Here is a 20,678-nt window from a genome sequence, read left to right on the forward strand (position 1 = left end):
TCTTTTCATTATAATTCTTTTAAGAGTGGATATAGTCTCCAACTAATAAAGATAATCCTAAAATACTTTAGGGCCCTATTTAAGAAAATGAGAGTGACTGCGGCAAGTTGCAGAATTTTATTCTTGACTGAGAAGGGAAAGAAGGCAGTATTTCTGCTTTATATGGAAAATTAACTGCCTAAATGTGAAGCCAGAATGAAAATAAGGTTACACAGCATTAAAATCTGCATCTCATGGGGAATTTATGTTCAGTACTCCTTCAGCGTAAAATTCCACAGGTTTTCTTAGGCACACAGCAAGTCATATGAACGTGACCTCTAAAGAGGTGAGAAGCAAAGAGACATAATGATATACTCTGCCTCTCAAAGCTCAAATAGCAGCATGTTGTATTTTTTGCACATGGGAGAACCTCAGTGAATTATGAAACATACCATTTTCAATTTCACAGCATTCTTTCTGTTAGGACAGTAGCAAATACCAAAATAATCATGTCCATGCCTAGCTTCTAAATGAGATCAGTTAATCTAAAGAAATTAGGTAACATGCCCACAATCCCTGAATCAGCTCTTCCCCTCCCTGAACAGTCTTTCTTCAGAGAATATTAAATAATTGTACACATGCACATAGGCAAGAATCTTTCTTTAAAATGTTGGACATACGAGTTTTAACATTGGACCCAACCAAAAATGGGGTAAGAACCAGGACTAGAATTGTAGCTTTTCTGTGCCTATTTACTTCCAGCTGTAAAATGAGAGCACAGTACAAGATTTTTCACCCAAAAGGTGCATATATGCCAAATTGTTTTCTATTCATTTGCACATTCTAGGAGAAGCAAGGATGAAAAGGCTTATTCTGCAGAGAAATAACAGGCATCAGAAATGTTGAAGCCCTACCCATGGTGAATGGTGACGTCGTTTCCAGCACCAGAATGAAAAATGTGTAGCAGTGTTCACTTGGATGTCCAGGCAATCTGGCCTCTCTGACAGGATACTGTCTCTAGATAGTATCAGCACAGGAAGCTGATTCTTCCTTCTGAAAGACCCAAGGTCCCTTAACTGAGCATTTCTGAAGACTGCAGGCACATGGCTGCCTACTTAGTGTACTTGTGAGCAAAAGGCCCCTTTTTGAGAAAATATTCTGTTATCAAATTCATAACACATCTATCAAATTGATAATACAGTATGGATCAATAGGTACATCACATTGAACAATCTACAGAAATTCAAGTGACTGTCTTTTATTTTGAGAACATGTCTTACTGCATGTGTTTTCCATTCCTAGTTTGCATTTACAGTTTTTTTATTTGGGTCTTCATGCCAGGGACTTCCATGGGACTGTGTGCCTTAATTTGTGCTTGCTTGTCAAGGGCCAGATAGGGCTTGCATTTGTTTCACCTGAGAACCTAAAAATCTGTCAGATGTTAATAAAATTGACTGGAATGCAGGCAGAATTGTGGTAGGAACATATCTGAAAAATTCAGCATTTCAAGAATGTATCTCATTTTGATCGGGGATTATAAAATAGCTGTGAAAATGTTTGCCTGTGGCTTGTCTCAGGATCTAAGGTCTGCACACCTTGTACCACATGTGAGCTTTCCACTCACTGAGAGTAAACATAGTGAGGCAAATCTGCATTCAAAACTATGAGTACACAACTATTTTGACAGTTGTTCTGTTTAATTCATCCATTGGGGGTGGTGCAGAGTCAGTGACCGTTATTAAGAAGTTCTTGTCTGGCTGTAGACACACAACTAGCTATTTTTAAAGCTACGAAGAAACTTACTTTAATAGATATATAAATGCCCAGTTATAATCTTATGCCTGTAAGGATAAATGTAGAGTACTGGTTTGCTAGGGGTGCCGTAACAAAATGCCACAGATTGAGTAGCTTAAACCAGAGAAGAGAAAAAAACTTTTTTTTGTTTTGTTTTGTTTTGTTTTGCAGTTTTAGAGGTTAGAAGTCAAGATCAAGTTGCTTGCAGGGTTTGTTTTCTCTGAGAGCCATAAGTGAAGAAGCTATTCCAGGCCTCTCTCCGTGGCTTGCAGATGGCCTCCCTCTTGCTGCCTCTTCACATGCTCATTCCTCTATGAACATGCACCCCTGCTGTCTCTTTATGGGTCCAAATTTCTTCTGATAAGGAGGACCAGTCAGACTGCTTTCTTTTTATGAGGAAACTAGTCAGACTGGCCATCCTAATGGCCTCATTTTAACTGAATTATATCTTTAAGGGCCCTGTCTCCAAATACAAGCATATTCTCAGGTACTGGGGATTAGAATTTTAGGGGTACACAATTCAACCCATAACAGTATTCAATGAAATCAATTCACTAAAGTGGATGGATGTGCTGAGTGCACAGGAATAAAACAGGAAATGTAGAACTCAGGCATCAAGCGCCTGTAGGAGTGACAAGGATGGTGTTGATTTTGTGGCTGTGCAGTTAATCAGGATTGATAAAATCATAAATAATTTGATGCATTCTCTTCCCTGGAAATGGTAGCTTCTGCTTTGTTATTTAATATGTAAACCCATTCTGGAAGGAGTAATAGAAATATCATGAGAACAGATGATCCATTAAAAAAATTGTTTCATAGTATTCTAGAAAAAAAGTCTCCTTGCTTACAGACCGTAATTTTAGGACTGATTTTGTTTCTCTCACGTATCATGGGTTTTTAGAAAAGTTTAGATGCTGAGTTCCATCTAAACAAACATTTTTAAAGTTTTGGCAATAAAGTTTTAGTTCATTATACATAGAGATATAAATTATGTTTTTCCTCCTCTCCCCAGAGGAGTTAGCCTATTTTCTTTATGTCTTTCACTCTAGAAGAAGTGTCTTCACCATATTTGGACATTTCTCAGTTGCGCTTTCTTCTGAATCCTTTATGTGAATATAAAATTCACAAAATATTCAAATCCATTTGACAAACATTTAGTAAGTACCTGCAATGTTCAAAGAAAGCAGTATGTTAGACTCAGTGTGGCTACAAAGGTGGATAAAGCATGGTCTTAATGAGCTGACAGTGCAGTGGGGGAAACAAGATGTGTCAAAAGTGACTAGAGTACGAAGCAGAATGGTAAAGGTGTAAATGCTAGAGGAGCTCTGACATGGAGTGATTGTTCTTAGCTGGGGCATTTGGGGAAAGCTTCCTAAACCAGGTGTCACTTCGACCCCATGTGAAAGCAGTTGGAATTTCTATAGAAAATGGTGGCAAAGCGGGGCATTCAGAGGAGGTTTCTTTAGACAAACGTGTAAACACTGGTGGAGAAGCAGAAAATGCATTCATTAAATGCTGCTGTCCCTTTGGGAATAGCCAGAAGGATGGCCCAGATCAGACTGGTGGAACCCACAGGAGCCACCAGTCTAAAGGTAAAAGGTTCTAAGTGCCAAGTTACTGAAAAGTCACTGGGAAACCAGGAAGCCCAGTTAACTCAGCTGCTAAACCTTACTTCTCAATACTTCATCAAGCCTTGTTAAATGAGGGGGCAAGCCACATTGTTTCTCTTGACCCTTCTAAAGTGATGTGTGCAGTAGAATGTGATGATGTTGTGACGATCATTATAATTTCTCTATCTAGTTATTGTATTTGTCTATTCTTCTTGCTGCTGTTCCTGGATACTATGTCAATATAAAATGTCATGAGACTTTTAAGAGTCAGCTCATCATTTATCAAGTACCTGCCATGTAAAAGGCACAATGCTACAAGAGTTTTAGAGAAGAATAGGATACGTAGCTGTAAAGGAGTTGGTATTTTACCTCTCATGCCATTCTAGCCTACATTATTTCAGTTTCTGGAATTGATAAATAAATTACAGTAGGGAAACAGGATGATGCAGAAGTTAAAAATACCAGCTTAGCATCAGACTGAAATAGTCCACCACTGTCTTAAGTGTGTGGCCTTGGGCAAGTTACTTAAGCTCTCTAACATTAGTTTCTTCACTGTAAAATAGAGGTAGCTACCTCATTAGTATTGTTAAATCTGTTTAATAAAAAGGATGTATTTAGAGCAGAGCACTTTGCACAAAGTAATATTCAAGGAATGTTGGCCTTTATGATTTCTTTAAGGACTACATTTCCTCATTTTTCGTATTTCTGAGTAGGAAAGTTAGAGTCAAAGAAGCTGAACAATAGGAAATATGGTGAGTAAAATATTTTCTGGTTCTTTATTGTTGCATAACAAACTACCTCCAAAATTTGGTTATTTAATGCAGTTTGTTTTAATCACTCATGGTTCTATGGGTTGACTTAACTCAGCTGGAGAGCCTTACTTGGAATATCTCATGATGTTTTCATCTAACGTGGGCCAGGGTTATAGTTATATGAAGTTACAGGACTGAACATCCATGATAGGACTGAACATCCAATATCCTCCAGGCAGCTGATGCTTCTGTTGCCTGGGACATCAGTTGGGGCCACAGAATGGAGCACCTACAAATGATCTCTCCAAGTGATGTGAGCTTCTCAATACGTGGTGATGGCTTCTGAGAGGGAGCCTCCCAAAAATGAGAGTCCTGAGAGACAGGACACCCTGGCAGAAGCTGCAAGGCTTCTTTCTTCACTCACATATCTAGGTAGCTTGTGCTCCTTGTGCGCTCTCTCTCTCTCTCTCTCTCTCACACTCTCACTCTCTCTTTCTCTGCCACCTTGTTTTTTGAGGCCACGGTAGTCTCAGATATAATCACACTTCTAACATGGTAGCTGGCTTCCAAGAGGCAGGAAGCAAAACCTGCCATGCCAGTGAAGGGCTAAGCCAAGACTGGAAAGGTTGGTCAAGTGCCATTTCTGCTGTGCTCCCTCAGAAAAGTTCCCACGAGATGAATGTTGATTCATGGAGGAGAAATAGCCTCACTTCTTGATGGAGGAGTGGAAGGTACATTACACAGGAGCATACAGATGAGGAAACTGTCCTATGAAAGTACTGTAAAAATTGGTGGGGAGGCATGATTTGTCCTTATTTTTCTGATGAAAAGCCTAAGGCTAAGGATGTTATGAGGTAGCCAAAGTAACTTCTATTAAATGGAAGAGCTCCACATTAAACTCTGGCTCCAAATTAGATCTTCTGGGAAAACTGCCCTCTGCCTCTCCTCCAATAACTTGTCATTTGCTTTCTTTGGAGATGGGAAAAACCATGGGGGCTGACAGCAGTGATCTTCTCCCAACTCCCATCCATCTACATATCCACACCTACACCCTCATCTCCTGTGCCTGTGCCTTTGATCACATGTCCTGCTGTGAACCTCACTGTCAGCATCATAAAATGAGAATAGCACCTTCCCATAGGGTTGAAATGAAAATTCCATGAGTATAATACAACTAAAGTGCTTAACACCATGCCTGATATGTAATGAGCGTTCAATACCTCCTACCTATTATTGCTGTTATTATTATTACTATTCAAATTTTTTAGGATAGGAATTTACATTGCCATCTCTTTCTCTTCATTATTAGTCTTTCCTAAGCCAACTCTCTTCTATAGGAATGGTTTTTACCTAGGCTACCTCCTAATTGCCCAAATTTGGGCATATTGGAGATATTTTTATTGCATTTTTTTCTTAAACTCCCTGCTGCATTTGAAATGCCCTACTTCCTTGGTGTTCATGACTTTGCACTCTTCCCTGACTTCCTGTGTCAGCCACAAATAGTTGTGCAGGTTTAAAGCATCTCAAGGGCACACATCTAAGGGAAGGGGATGCACATGAAACATAAGGTAGAGTTGTGCATCTATCATGACGATTTTCCAGCAGATGGCAGTAACATGATCTGGTCTAATGAAATCAGTACATTGTGACAACCTTCTGACAGATAGAGAAAAGTGTTTTGAGGAGGCACCTTTTTCCAGCTTACAGAAATGCTTCATGTGGACTGATGGTGGCTGAACTTCTGACTGTTTCTCCTCTACTGCCTTCACCAGATAATCTTTGTTTGCCCCCCAAATGCCTGAGAGGTTTGTTTCACAGCTATCTATACTGATTCTGCATGTTCTAATTCAATAATAATTGAGTCTTACTGTTGAGACTACCACCTTATTGCTGCTGAGCCCTAAATCTTTCACTCCAGTAGTGACTTCTTTGAATTTCAGATATCTCGCCGCCTGCTGGACGTATTCACCTGGATGTCTTCAGGGGAAGCTCAAACTCAACATGTCAAAAACTTAATTCACTTCCTGGCCCTTAAGAATGAAACTCCAGCATCATTTTTAAAGCCAGAGAACCCTGTTGTTCTGTATCAATATTTTCATGGAAAAGTTCAGTTTCACTTTTATGCATGAAATTAACATAGGGAGGTACAGAGAAGTATATGCTTGTTGGGGTCCCCCTGGGGGTTCATCCAGAAGAGTGCTGCCCCAAAACTGAGGGCATGGCGTGTGCTGGATTCCCCCAGTTTTCTTCTAGATCAACTCATTCTTTGTGGTCAGTCCGGAAGGAAGCCCACGATCAGTTTTCACTTCTCTGAGGCACACATTCATTTGGGGAAGACATTCACCCTGTTTTATCAATTTCATAAAGCCATCTCAATTAGAATATCTAGAAATTATGCTGGAATTCTTGCACTCCCTCACTACTTTTATCCTAAAAACTACTACTTTGACGCCTAAATATTTGTAATGGATTCTCTTCCCTCTAGTCCCCTTCTCACTATCCTAATGTAGGCTTTTTCTATCTCTCAATTGGAAATTTTAATAAATTCCTTATTACATTTACTACAGAAGATGTTACCGTGTTATTCCATTGCAGTTGACCCTTGCGCAACACAGGTCTAAACTGTGTGCGTCCACTTACATGCAGGATTTTTTCAGTAAGTAGTCAACCCTCCATATTCACAGGTTCCGTATCTGCAACAAACCATGCACGGGAAATACAGTGTTGGCGAGCTGGGAAACCCGTGAATATGGAAAGCTGACTTCATATCTACACATTCCACAGGGCTCACTATGAGACTTGAACGTGTATGGGTTTTGGTATCCGGGGCGGTCCTGGAGCCAATCCCCCCTTGGATATTGAGAGGCAACTGTATGATCTGTTTTTCACACAGCTGACAGATATATGTATCTAAAGCACAAATCTAATCCCGCCACCCCCACTTAATTCACTTGCAAGAGTTCTTGTTACCTACAGAATCAAATTCAGGAAGCTTTCTCTGACCACATCTCCCCAGAATCCTCCATCTGTAGTGTCCAGGACACCTACATTTCTTTATTATCACACTCTTTTTTGTTACAATACTCACTTGATGTATCTTTCCCTGCCATTACACTATGAGCTTCTTGAGGACCCAACTTGCATCTTAATCATTTTTGTAGTTATGGTGCCTAAAACATTTCTTGAGATAGATTAATTATTCAAAAATATTTTGAATGAGTGAAAGATGAGTATAGAATATAATGATTGAAGGGGCTTCCTGGAGGAGACTGCACTGAGTTAGGTCATGAGGGAAGAAATATTTTTAATACATAGTGGGAGAAGGTACAGTCTTCCAGGAAAGGACTTCTGAAAAAATAAAAATAAAAGTTCAAAGACCAGATGGGACAGTAACACAGCAGAATTCATACAAGGTTTCTTCTCTGGTCTTTTATATTTTGGTAATTTTCCTTTATTTTTGCTCTTCTCTTTATGTCTGTGTAAAACTTCTTTATGCTTCTATTAATATTTTTATTTCTCTAAAGGTAAGAACCCACTGAGTCTGGGAGTGTACACGAGCTAGCTCAGCATTTTAAATGTAGACAAATCTAAATATTTTCTTTTTATCATTTTATATTTTCCTGGGGACCTCTTCACTCACGGATCCACACTGAGAGGAAAATATATAAAGCAGTAGGGCAACCTGCTTTCTTTTCAAATGCCTGGTAAGATGTTCTTATTATTTTAGGGGACTCTACAGCTCCATGTCTCTTGTGAAATAGACATTGGGTTGTATTAAAGACTTGGCATTTTTCATTCTCACATCTTAAAAAATATTTTATCTTCTAAGATTATAATTATACATATGTTAAAGCAATAAATATATATAAGTAAGAAAGAAAAATTATCCTGTAATCCCAGCACTTTGGGAGGCCGAGGCAAGTGGATCACCTGAGGTTGGGAGTTCGAGAACAGCCTGAACAACATGGAGAAACCCTGTCTCTACTGAAAATATAAAATTAGGCAGGCGTGGTGGCGCATGCCTGTAATCCCAGCTACTCAGGAAGCTGAGGCAGGAGAATCACTTGAACCTGGGAGGCAGAGATTGTGGTGAGCTGAGATCGCGCCATTGCACTCCAGCCTGAGCAAGAGTGAAAAACTCAGTCTCAAAAAAAAAAAAAAAAGAAAAGAAAAGAAAAATTATCTTGCTCTCTTTCAAGTTTGTTTCCCTTATTTTCAATTGCTTTCCTCGTTTTGAAGAGTCATAAAACTAGTAAAGATAATAGACCTCACTGAGAGATTTTACTTATTTACATATTATTTAAGCGAGAGACTCCACCAGTACCTCTGGAACTGCCTCTCCATAATCAGCAATGACTTCTCTACCCTCCACCTCTTCTCCAAATACTTCTGTCACCTTCTTGCTTTAACAGAAACATGGCCCTCCCCTGAAATCACCAGTGTCCCTGAATTGTCTCCATGTACCTGGAGACCATTCTTCCTAATCACTCCTCTCCTACTTTTTCTTTAAAAAAAACCCCTGCTCATCTGAGACTCATTCAGTCAGCTGCACCTTCCCCACCAACCACCAACCATCATGACTGTTATTTATTAAATTCAATGGTTTCCCTCGTTTACAAGGACATTGATACACAACTTACAGCTTTTCTCTGCCTTCAAGTCCTTCCATTTTCCTGGGACACCATCATGGCCTCTGAGTTCCTAGGTTTCCTCCTATTTAATAACTTTCCCCCTACCCTAGCTTTCATTTTTTGGTCACCGCTGGATCCTAACAAGTTACCCTACTCCCTACAAACTAAAGCAAACATCTCAGTGGCCCCAGTCACCACTCTTTACAATTTGCTTTGCCAAGTATTCACACTAAAAGGGTTCTTTAGTTTCACCAAGATCTCCAGTCTGCTGACCCTTTATCTGTCTTCCAGTTTACCCTTTCTTTTCTTTCTTTCCTTTTAATCCAACTTACATTGCACAGTGTATCATTTCAATCGCTCTCTTAGATCTCTTGGTGGCGACCTAAATTTCCTGTACCTGGTCTCTCCCTGCCCTAACCCCACTCTGCAATAGAAATTTTATTTATATTTTTCCTCACAAAACCGCTCCCTGGCTGAAGTCAGCTATATACTTTCTCATTGCCCAAACTAGAACTATGGAGAGTTTTCTGAATTCGTAAGTAACTATGTAACTTAACAGGCCCTATTGGTAGCCCTGCAGAGTTAATATTACCAACTTCAAATGGGCCCCCAGTGCTGCACTGCCACAGTCATCTTTAGTCATCTCTCTTCCTCCATTCCCCCCATCAATTAAGGTAAACTTTCTTCATTCTCTTCAGATACCCCTATGTTCATTAGACTTTGCATCATAACAGAGAAAATAGACAACTTCTGCCTGGGTTCTTATCTTCAAGCTACCAAGCTTGCAAATCACTTATATCTACATTAATTTGACCCTCCTTCCCCTCAGTGAGAACAGGAACGCTTTCTGTTATGCTACCTTCGGGCTATATTTCTACCCATGCTTTGGGTTCCATCCTCTTGCCCTTCTCAGGAATTTTCCTTCACTGATTGTTATTGCTCTCTTCTATATAGTCAGCACCTCTATCTCATTAAATAATTTGAGTTAGCTTTTCAACATATGCAAAACTCTTCCTTTAAAACAAACAAAACACATCTCTCTCAAGTTACTGCTCTATTCCTCCCATCCACATTAACATTGAAATGTTCAGTAAGTGAGCTCCATTCACCATCTCCCAGTCACTCTCTCACCCACTTCAAATTGCCTTCCAACCTTTGTACTTCCAAGGAAGCAATTTTGCTCAACTGTTGACATCCATGTTGCTCAACTCAAAAGATATATTTAAGTCCTTTTCAAATTAATACTTTCAATACAAGTTCAATATTGTCAAAGATGTTCTTTCCTTCTGATTTTTCTCCTCTGCCATCCATTTAATGTTGGCATTTTTCAAGGCTTGGTTCTGGACTCACTCTCCATCACACTTTATATACTCTCCCCCTAAGCAAGTTCATTCAAGCCTGTTGTTTCAATTACCACGGAAGGCAGATGACTTAAATTAGTTGTTCAGTTTGGACCTCTCCTCTAAGCTCCAGGGCTACACATCCAACTGCCTTTTGGACATCTTGCTACCCAACTCATGATCTATCATCTCCCTCAAACCAGCTTTTATCTGATATTTTGACATCATTTAATAGCTTCACAATCCATTTTGTTGTGCATGCCATAGAGAAAAATTAAATTCTCTCCCATTCTCACTCCCTCTCTCTCTCATTCTCTCTCTCCCCTCCTCTCTCTATCCTTCTCAAACTTCCGATTCAATCCATGACCAAGCTTTGAAAGTTGTATCTCCTAAATGGCTTTCAACTTGGTTCACTTCTGGCCATCTCCATCATCATTCTTTCTTTAAGATCATCATCACTTGCCTGCAGTACTGCTATACTAACTGCTCTTTCCACATGTATTGTAACCTTCTACTCTAACCCAGTCTGGAGTAGTGGCTCTTTACCAGCAGTGACTTTGCTCCCCACATGAGATTTTGCAATGTGCGAACACACTTTTAATAGTTATGACTCCAGAGCTAGGGACAAATGCTCCTGGCATCTAGTGGGTAGAGACCAGGAAGGCTGCCAAACATCCTACCTGCACAGAATAAGGCTCTAATAACAAAGAATTATCTGGTTCAAAATATTAACAGTGACAAGATTTAGAAATCCTGTTCTGGAGTTAGACTGCGCTTTTCACATGGCAGACCTGATTATGTCATGTGTGCATGTGTATACACACACACACACACACACACACACACACACACACACTTAAAAACATTCAATAACTTCCCATTGAGCTAAGACAAAGCAAATATGGTGCTGCAGGCCTTTGTGATCTGCTCCCGGCCTGCCTCTGCAGGCCATCCAGCACCACGTGTTTCCTTTCAGCCTCCCTGCTCCCACCTACTCTATCCTCTGTCCTCCCTCCCAGTCCAGGACATTTGCACATATTGTCTTCACCTGGAAAGCTCTTCACGTAGTTAAGCCCCATTCATTCTTCAAATATCAGCTGAAGGTCGTTTCCCTGGGAGAGCCCTATACAGGGCTCTCTCTCACTGAGTTAATTCCCCCATTAAGACACTCAGCATTAGAGTTGCATGTTTAATACTGACTCCTGGGCTTCGTTACTATTTGCCTCCTTCTCTAGACTGGAAGCCACAAAAGGTGAAAAACATTTCTTTATTTTATTTTAAATAAAATTATACCACCAGTAGTTGGTTGTTGAACATTAGGTGTTCAATGACTAAATCTCTTCCAAGAACATTTGAGAAAACTTAGTCCTAGAAATGGCAAGTGACTTAATCAAGGCCACAAAGCTTATTAGTAGCCAAGGGAGGGCTTGAATCCAACTTTCTTATTGTGAAATGCTGCATTTGTTCCTTCTAAAGTGGTATTGTACGCATTTGTTTAAGCTTCTAGATTTTTACTCAAAGTAAATCTTTTGTGGAAGCACAGTGTATAAAACAGATTACGAGAGATTAAAGCAGATCACTGCTTTGATTGGAGACAGCTCAATTCAGCCTCATCCAAGAAGCTCTTTTACATCTCTACACAGCTGCCTCCTTACCCCTTGCCAGGCCCTGAAGAGCTTGCCTCAGAATGACTTTGATGTGATGACTAGGGCTTGAAAATAAGTCCACTACATTCACATGTAGATTGTTCCTTACTGCCTCCGTACAAGATGCACTCTTGATACTTGTGAATTCCAAAATGAGAATACCAATATAGTATAAGTTAATGTCATCACCAGCTGAAATTTAATCAAATCACATTTCCATGTAGGTATATGAAACAGAAATTATTCCTTAATATCATCAGTCTGAGTCCATGGACCATGTTCAGTATTCCACCTTTTACCAAAACATAAATTTTCCTAACAAAAATCACAACTTTGTAGGGATCTGCACCTTCTATTTATCTCATCTTGTTTTTGCCAATGCTAGCAGTTGGATTAAATTGCTGAAACAAAACAAGCAAACATACTGCGTTCATGTCATAGCAGTCACCTTCCAGGACAGTGGAGAGGACACCAGAATGAACTGAGATAAGGATGTTATACTCGTGCCACATGTAATGGCATGTCTGACACTGTGTCTCAACAGCATGATACCTCACTACAAGTTATGAACATATGGATTTTTTGTAATAGTTGGAAACACATGTTAAAGGGAATGCCCTGAAAAAAATGACAAGTTCTTTTTCTCTATTTTTCTCCTGCAATTGTTTTTAGCTTCAGTTAAAGTTCACTCTAATGAAGACAGCATACATCATATATTTTGGGAGTATCCAAAGATGATATGATTACCAGATAACAATATTTCTAGTGATTTTATATATATGTGTATATATGTGTATATACACACATTTGTAATAAATGTATGTACACACATATACATAGTGAATATATTCATATATATGAATATATATTCATGTATATTCATGTGTATATGTATATTATATATTTGTGTGAATATATATCTTCACATATACTTATGTACATGTGATATATGTATATATATATTTACGTGTGTGTATATATCTTCATATATACTTGTTATGTACATGTGATGTATGTATATATATATTTACATGTGTGTATATATTATATATAAATTGAAAAGCTTTTCTTTTCTAACCATAGCAAAGACATAGAAAATGTATCTACTCTAAGAATGTTTCGAAGCTTTTAGCTGTCTCTCAAACTTGACTCACTCATGTCTGTGTACTTAAGAGGTAACAAAAGTGAAAAACAATTACTGACATCATTATCTGAATGGCTGCTTAGAGAAATACAATAGTGCCTTCTTATCCATGGGGGTCATGTTACAAGGCCCTTAGTGGATGCCTAAAACCACATATAGTACCGAACCCTACATATACTCTGTCTTTTCCTAAATATATGTATACCTATAATAAAGTTTAACTTTTAAATTCAGCACAGTAAGAGATTCACAACAATAACTCATAATAAAATAGACTAACTAAAACACTATGCTGTAATAAAAGTTAAATAAGAGTGATTTGACCACAAGCACTGCAATACTACGATAGTCCATCTGATAACCAAGACAGCTTCTAAGTGAATCACGGTGGGTAGTATGGACAAACAAACTGATGATTCACGTCCTGGGCAGATGGAGTGATCCTCAGATCAGCATGCAATTTAAAATTTATGAATGGTTTATTTCTGGAATTTTTCATTTCATATTGTGGACCGCAGGTAAATAAAACTGCAGAAACCAAACCTACAGTTACAGGGAAGACTACTGTGTGACCTCCTGTATGAAAATCTTTAACTTATGTGTAGCTGTTGAAAACATTTTCAACATATTACTTGACATATTTAAAACTAGACTTTTGCTTCTTGAACTGTCTTGAGTCATTTACTTACTTTTTGCAATGTTTTTATTCAAAATATTTAGTCTACTTGGCTGGTTTGTTTTATTTGATTACATTACTTGGCCTATACAATAAGGAATCTGTATATTCCTTATTGGCCTATACAATAAGGAATGCTAGACTTTCTATGTTGGAAATATCCTTTATATTTCCTTTCTTTGGGAATCTTTTATCTCTTCACCTTTAAATTACTATCTGAAGAAGTAATTTCATAATCTTTATGAATCGAAAAACTGTATTCAATGTATGCTGGCTGAATGGGCTTGTAATTTGGGAACTCTATAATTGCTAAGGTTATCATTACAGGGTGAACATGACATTAAACTCATTTCCTTCTGTCTTCAGCATATAATGTTTTTACATTGCCATTTTTTGAAAGTCCCTCATCAACATTTCTCAGGCCTAGAAAGTTGCATCCATTAACATATATTATGTTGTATTGTGACCCTTATTTCCACTCTCTCTCTTTTATGAGAGAAAAAAACACACACACATGAAAGGAAGGCTAATTCAGAAGTGGAACCAGTGGCAGAAAAGTAAACTAAGCGTTCAGATATATGTTTGCAGTTCTTGGCAAAGTTATCAACATTTTACCTGAAGCATATTGAAAACATCCCTCATGACAGAAATCCCTCCCTCTTTCATTTCTGCCTTCTAACCCCCCTAAAAAACACATCTGTTTCCTACTGATAGCTTTTAACATACAACCCTTTAATGTCTTGTAACAGGAAGTGGAAATTGAGCGAAGTTTGTGCTCGCCAGCTTTTAAGAGTCACCCTGGGAGCCAGCTGGAGGATTCTGTGAAAGATTCAGACAAGAAAGGCAAGGAAACATCTTTTGACAAGATGTCACCTGAAAGTGGTCACAGCCGCATCTTTGAAGGTTAGCATAACATTTTGATATGCTTTCTTGACATCATACCTTGTACAACATGAGTGGTTAATAAATAAAATATATGAGGGGTTTGTTTAAAAATTAGTAAGGAAAATAATGACTGCATATAGTTTAGGAAATACAATTTAGGAAAAATAGAGGTGTTTATAAATGCTTCTATCCTTATTATATTTTAATTAGATTTTTAAAACTAAATAGAATATATTTTAATTGACTATAAACCAGTACAACAAGCATTTTCAGTATTAGAGGTTTGAAACAATGCACTTGACCATAATCTGACTTTAACTTTTGTGAAAATAAAAGGAAAACATACTTGTCTTTCTGTCTGTGGGTAACAAAAGAATAAACTAGGAGTAACTATCAGTAGCAAAATAAAAAAATAAATAAGATGCCTTAAGCATCTCCTTTTCAGACAATTAAACTAAACTTGCATAATGAATTTGGAATACAAAGTGACATAAGAGTGTTACATTTTAGACAGAACCTCATAAATTTGATTAATGCTTCACAAATATCATTAAAAAGTTAATAGCTCGTATGTTAGAAATCACACTATTAATATTATTTTCAACAATGACAGACATGAAAAATATAAATAACTTATTGGAAAATACAGATCTTATTTATCATTTCTGATTAGGCACATTCTGGATTTTTCCTCTTTAGCCAAATAATGTCTATTGTAGTATTTGTGGTGTTTGTTAAAGATCATAATTAGTACAAATTTTAAGATATCGTTTGGAATATTTGTAGCAAACTGTCAAGTCACCAGTCCATGTGAGCAATGTGGAAAGTCTTTGGAATATTACAGTTCACAGTTTGGGAAAGCAAATGGTACTCTGCTTTAAAACTTTGTTATTGAAAGTGCTGTTTGCGAATCAGCACGTCAGCATCACCTGGAGGCTTATTAGAAATGCAGAACCTTCGGCCTCACATCAGTTCTACTAAATCAGAATCTGCATTGTAACAGGATCCTCAAATGATTCATGTGCACATTAAAGTTTGAGAAGCTGTACACTGTGACAGAACAGACTGGTCTTCAGGGGAATTTACATATGGTTCAGCCCATTCTGATTCCGTTTGGTTTAAGGATGTAATTTGGAGTGGGAGGCAGGTGTAGGAACAGTCAAGGGGAGTTTGCTAATGATGGACTGGGCATGGATTTCTAAATACATGTAAATTGAGATTTCAATCTCTTTTTCACTTTCAATTCATTTTGGTATGCCCAATTAATATCCTAATATGATTAGTATCAGTCTTGAGGAATTTACTCCACATATTTCTGGCCTGTGATTAAACTTTATGTGCACTTGGCTGAATGCAAAAGAATTAGATTAGCAGAGGCCAAGGAAAAAGAAGCTTTAAGGAATGATTTATATTCTGATGATGCTTGCCTGTGGAGAGCTTAGCATAGGGAGGCAAAAATGAGTTTGGCAAACTGATCGAAGTTACATGAGATAATTAACTCCACTCATCACATCTTACTTCTCCTCATCTGTGTTTTCTTTGATTTCCATGCAAAGGTTTTCAAAGGCCTTTTTATGTTAAAAGCTTAGAAAAAGTATTCTGGAGTGTAACCACTATTTACTGTCAAGATATGACTGAAATTTAAAAGTAACCTCAAATACACATTTCCAGGTACATTGACAATAACAAGAAGTAAACTTCCAAACACAAGGTGGGAAAATTGCATCTGCAAGGTGGATGAACATAGCAGCAATTTTAATTTCATTTTATCTGTATATTGCACAAGAACTCTAATTCCTACGTAGCAATACATTTAAAAGAAACAAAATTCTTTCATTATGGGATCCTTTTCGTTCTTTCATGGGGCCCCAAATTTCTATCTCTGTTGGGACAAGAATGAACTATTTTAATACTTAATTTAGTTAACTTGGACAGCATGCAAGTTAAACTGGACAAAACCTACAAACCAAGAGCATTTTGATATTGCTGTTTTGCTGTAAATATTTATTTTATTCCAAAAAGATAAACACATGTTTCTAAATAAAGTGTGATAACTGAAAGATTTCAGAATTTATACAATTATATGAGTGACTGTGACAGCCTTATACATTAAACATCTTAACTAGCCGCAAGAGTTTCATATTGAGGCAGTATTTATTTGTAGTAATATGAAAAACAGTAGATTTTTAAAATTACACTTATAAAAGATAATTTAAGTGCAGCTACCTAATATCCTGCATATTTAAAATTTAGTAAACAGTGTGAATTGATAACTCCATTCCAGGACTGAGGACTAGCAATGCCTGTCAGTTTGGTTCCACTCCAATATCCTCAATGGCAGAACCAGAACAGCACAGAAAGGTGCTATGATTTTCCCCAGCCTCTCTTTTTATGCCTGATGATACACTCCCAGGTTCCCAGTTTGTGGACAATTGCTCTCACCACGTCTATTTTATTTGCTCCTTTTCCTCACTTATGTATTGGTGTCAAATAAACCATAGTGCTCCCGTGTGCATGTTGGTGCATTCCATTCACATTTTCTTGGAGATACACTCTAACAGTTGTTAAAATGATTCTAGGAAGACTTAGACCATATGTCATTAAATGTCAAGCATAGCAAATCCATAATTTGACAAATTTGGGTAATTTGATAATAGATGGGATATGAAAGAAAACAAATCAATCAGTGTAAATGATTTGATTAATTGTATTATACTAATATAAAAATCTGATTCGTTGGGCTGGGCACAGTGACTCATGCCTGTAATCCCAGCATTTTGGGAGGCCAAGGCGGGCGAATCACCTAGGGTCAGGAGTTTGAGACCAGCCCCGACCAACATGGTGAAACCCCATCTCTACTAAAAATACAAAAATTAGCTGGGCATGATAGTGGGTGCCTGTAATCTCAGCTACTCGGGAGGCTGAGGCAGGAGAATCACTTGAACCTGGCAGGTGGAGGCTTCAGTGAGCCGAGATGGCGCCACTGCACTCCAGGCTGGCCAACAGAGCGAGACTCTGTCTCAAAAAATATATATATATGCATATATATACGTACGTATATATATGCATATATATATATATGATTTGTTGAATTTCTTTTAGATATTTTAAGACCAGTAAGCTAGAAAGTGAATACTGGAAGTCTTAGGTACTGGTGTTTGATCTAGATGTATGTAGAATTGAAAAATATACTCTTCCTGCTGAAAAACTCTGGATCAAGGAATGCTTCAAATATCAGAATTGAATGGGTCATGTTCATCAGATTTATATGACTTGGAGTTTTTTAATATGACAATTGCCTGCCCTTCACTTTTATTCTCTAACTCATAATTTTAATTTTAATCTTCTAAGTCATCAACATGTAAAATGTCAAAAGATAAAATATATATTCAAAGTCACTTTTTCCAGGCTTTTGCAATAAACCTTGGAAATTACCTGCTGTATTTCTCTTTTTATTCTGCTCCATTAAAACTAAATTCATTCTTTATTCTTATAATGGCCATTCATCTCCTCTGACGGGTTTTACAAAACAAACTGAGACTTCTGTTCTTTCAGTTTTCTACTGCTCTTTACGTGAGGGGATCCTTCCAGTCATTAATGTTTCTAAAATACTGTAGTATGTATATGTATTTGTGTGATTGTCATTTACATATCTTATTTTTTGTTTAAAATCAGACATTTTAGAGTAATGACGTCCAATAGAAACTTCTGTGATAATGATAATAGAAGTGTCCTATATCTGTGCGGTCCAATATGGTAACCACTAGCCACATGTAGCTATTATGCAATTAAAAAGTAGCTAGTGCAACTGACCAACATAATTGCTAATTTCATTGAATTTTAAGTAATGTTCATGTAAATCGTCATGATATTGGAAGCTGACATTCGTCCAATGAGCTGTCTACCGTTTTCATAAGAGTTGATCCAGATGCTAATTATTCATTTTAAGTGATCCTCTATCTGCCAATTTACCTTTATTAAAATGTATGTGGATAAGGAGAAAGTTCATGTTGGCAAAATAGATAAAAGGCAAATAGCAATAATTCACATATTAAAAACTTGTCTTCGAGAACTAGGGATGATCTCCTCTCTTTAGTATTTTCTGGTGATAAAATTAAGAAAAATATAATTTCAACTGTGTTCCCTTTTCAATGTGCTGATAAAGCAATAGTTTTATCATAGAAACAGAAATACTACTGTGAGGCTTTGCATTCTTTTTTCCATAACATCTTTTCTAGAGCTTAATTGTCTTGGAAATATGAATCCCCTCAGGTCAGAAGCAAACCTTTGTCTAAATACCTAAGATTAACAAAGTTAAATGAAATGGTGCAACAGGCTACTTTAAAATTAACAGCACCATTTCTTTATTAAAACAGGGCTTCTTTGGAAACTTCGGAGTAAATCAGACATTTAGTCACAGAGTAGTTCCAGCTAACACCATCGACACCATTTGTTTTGCTCTGCCTGAACTGTCCCCTCTAACGAGACTCAGAGGACAGGCTTTTATAACTGGTCTCTGGATACACGATGGTGGACCCAGGACTCCCAGCACCGGCTTCTGCTTCCGGACTTGCTTCCCTACCTACTGTACCTTATTTCATGCCCCAAATAATGTTATTTTAGTTCATACAGGAGACATTTCATTAGGAAAAATATTGTCAGTGGATCACCATCTAAAACAATTCTGTGGTGATGGCCTTTGTAAAATAAAGAATCCATTTTTTGTATCAGTAATCATCTCTAATTGATCTGCTTACCCAATTAAGTGTTTCTCTTTCTTACAGTCAGATCCACCTGCAGATTTTTGATGACTCCCACATGTTCCTTTTAGTCACTATTACAGTCAGTGAGTCAAAACACATTCCAGAGTTAAGTCATGGCCCAGTAAGAAGGGGCAGCTGGGAGTTTGCTATTCTGAGGACTGTGTAATGAAAGGTCTATTCATGAGGTCGTTCACGTGGTAACTATAAATCAGCACCTTGGAATGCTGGAAAATTTCCAAAATCCCAGGAACTCATTTTGAGCTTGCACGCGGTCATATTTAATTTTAAAACATGAGGCCATTGAAGAAAGATAACAACAAATTTAAGTATACCTTTAAAAAATCATTCATTCACTTTACTACCCTGAAATTGGAAAAAACTAAATATTATTTTTAATATTCTGACTGTAGAATGTCAGAAATGTGTACATATTTCTACCAAATATTTTTGATGTGCTGTTTTCATTTGCCCATTCATCTGTTCATTCATCAAACAAATAAGTATTGAGTGCCTATTTGTGGCAGGAACTATTCTAGGTGCTTGGAGACATCAATGAATGAAAGACAAAAAGAAAAAGAAAAAATCCTGCCCATGGAGCATATTTTCTAACAGGAGATCATACATTGGATGAAAAAATAATGAAGAAGTAAATGGTATATCGGAAGACAGCAAGTGCTATAGAAAACATAGGCCAGGATAGTGGGAATGGTGCATGATGGAAATTCCTAATTTTAATTAGGATGATGAGAATCAGCCACACGGGAAGGTGACATTTAAACTAAGACTTGAATAAGTAAATATTCTCAGTGCTTTGGGAGGCCAAGGAAGGAGGATTGCTTGAGGTCAAGAGTTCAAGACCAGCTTGGGCAACATAGCAACACTCCATCTCTACAAAAAATAAAAAATTAGCTGGGCTTGCGGCACATACCTGTAGACCCAGCTACCAGGGAGGCTGAGGCAGGAGGATCCCTTGAGTCCTGGAGTTCAAGGTTACAGTTAGCTAAGATCATGCCACTGCACTCCAGCCTGGGTGACAGAGCAAGACCCTGTCTCAAAAATAAAATATAGAAAAGAAAATATACATAGTTATATTTTGTTAAAGGCAAATGTATCTCCTAAGGTTTGAGGCAGAATATTCTCTGAATGATCCCAGGCCCCCTAGTTGGAGCAACTATATTGCTGATTTTTTGCAGTCACTTGAAGATAGAGGAAACATACCGCAGTAAAATCCTCATATCTTGCCACTGTCACCAATGGGAAGTGTGTGGAATCACTCCTACCCTGGTTTATCAGTCTGCACCTTGTGGATTTCTGATATTGTTCTATTCTGTTCTACAGGGAATAGGCCAAGAAAGGAGAGCAGAGGGCAAAAAGTTCAGGTAGAACCGCAGGGCTGACTGAGGGCTTGGAGCCCACACATGAGAGCCAAACCAGGAATTAGTTATTATAAGAAAGGTA

The 20,678-nt window shown here is 37.8% G+C and overlaps 1 protein-coding gene and 1 long non-coding RNA gene across 4 annotated transcripts in view, besides 1 other annotated feature; one reads left to right on the top strand and one right to left on the bottom strand.

The window, feature by feature from the left end:
- XIRP2 (xin actin binding repeat containing 2) overlaps window positions 1–20,678 on the top strand; it is a 371,274-nt gene that overhangs the window by 233,108 nt on the left and 117,488 nt on the right. For all 3 annotated transcript variants that reach the window (NM_001199143.2, NM_152381.6, NM_001079810.4), the window contains exon 3: window positions 14,322–14,475. In NM_001199143.2, the coding sequence (NP_001186072.1) occupies window positions 14,322–14,475 (154 nt within the window). The remainder of the gene's footprint in view (window positions 1–14,321; window positions 14,476–20,678) is intronic.
- Window positions 1,222–19,368, bottom strand: XIRP2-AS1 (XIRP2 antisense RNA 1). Its single transcript, NR_046665.1, has 2 exons — window positions 19,215–19,368; window positions 1,222–2,938 (listed from the first exon to the last, which is right to left on the bottom strand). It is a non-coding gene; the product is annotated as an XIRP2 antisense RNA 1 (long non-coding RNA).
- Window positions 18,705–19,904: an enhancer, noted in NCBI's record as "P300/CBP strongly-dependent group 1 enhancer chr2:167996802-167998001 (GRCh37/hg19 assembly coordinates)". NCBI's record gives its function as "activates an origin of replication core promoter dependent on BRD2, BRD4, P300/CBP, MED14 and CDK7 cofactors, with strong dependence on P300/CBP, by STARR-seq in HCT116 cells {active_cell/tissue: HCT116}" and the evidence as "EXISTENCE:reporter gene assay evidence [ECO:0000049][PMID:35650434]".

Source organism: Homo sapiens, chromosome 2, assembly GCF_000001405.40.
Source record: "Homo sapiens chromosome 2, GRCh38.p14 Primary Assembly".
NCBI lineage: Eukaryota > Metazoa > Chordata > Mammalia > Primates > Hominidae > Homo > Homo sapiens.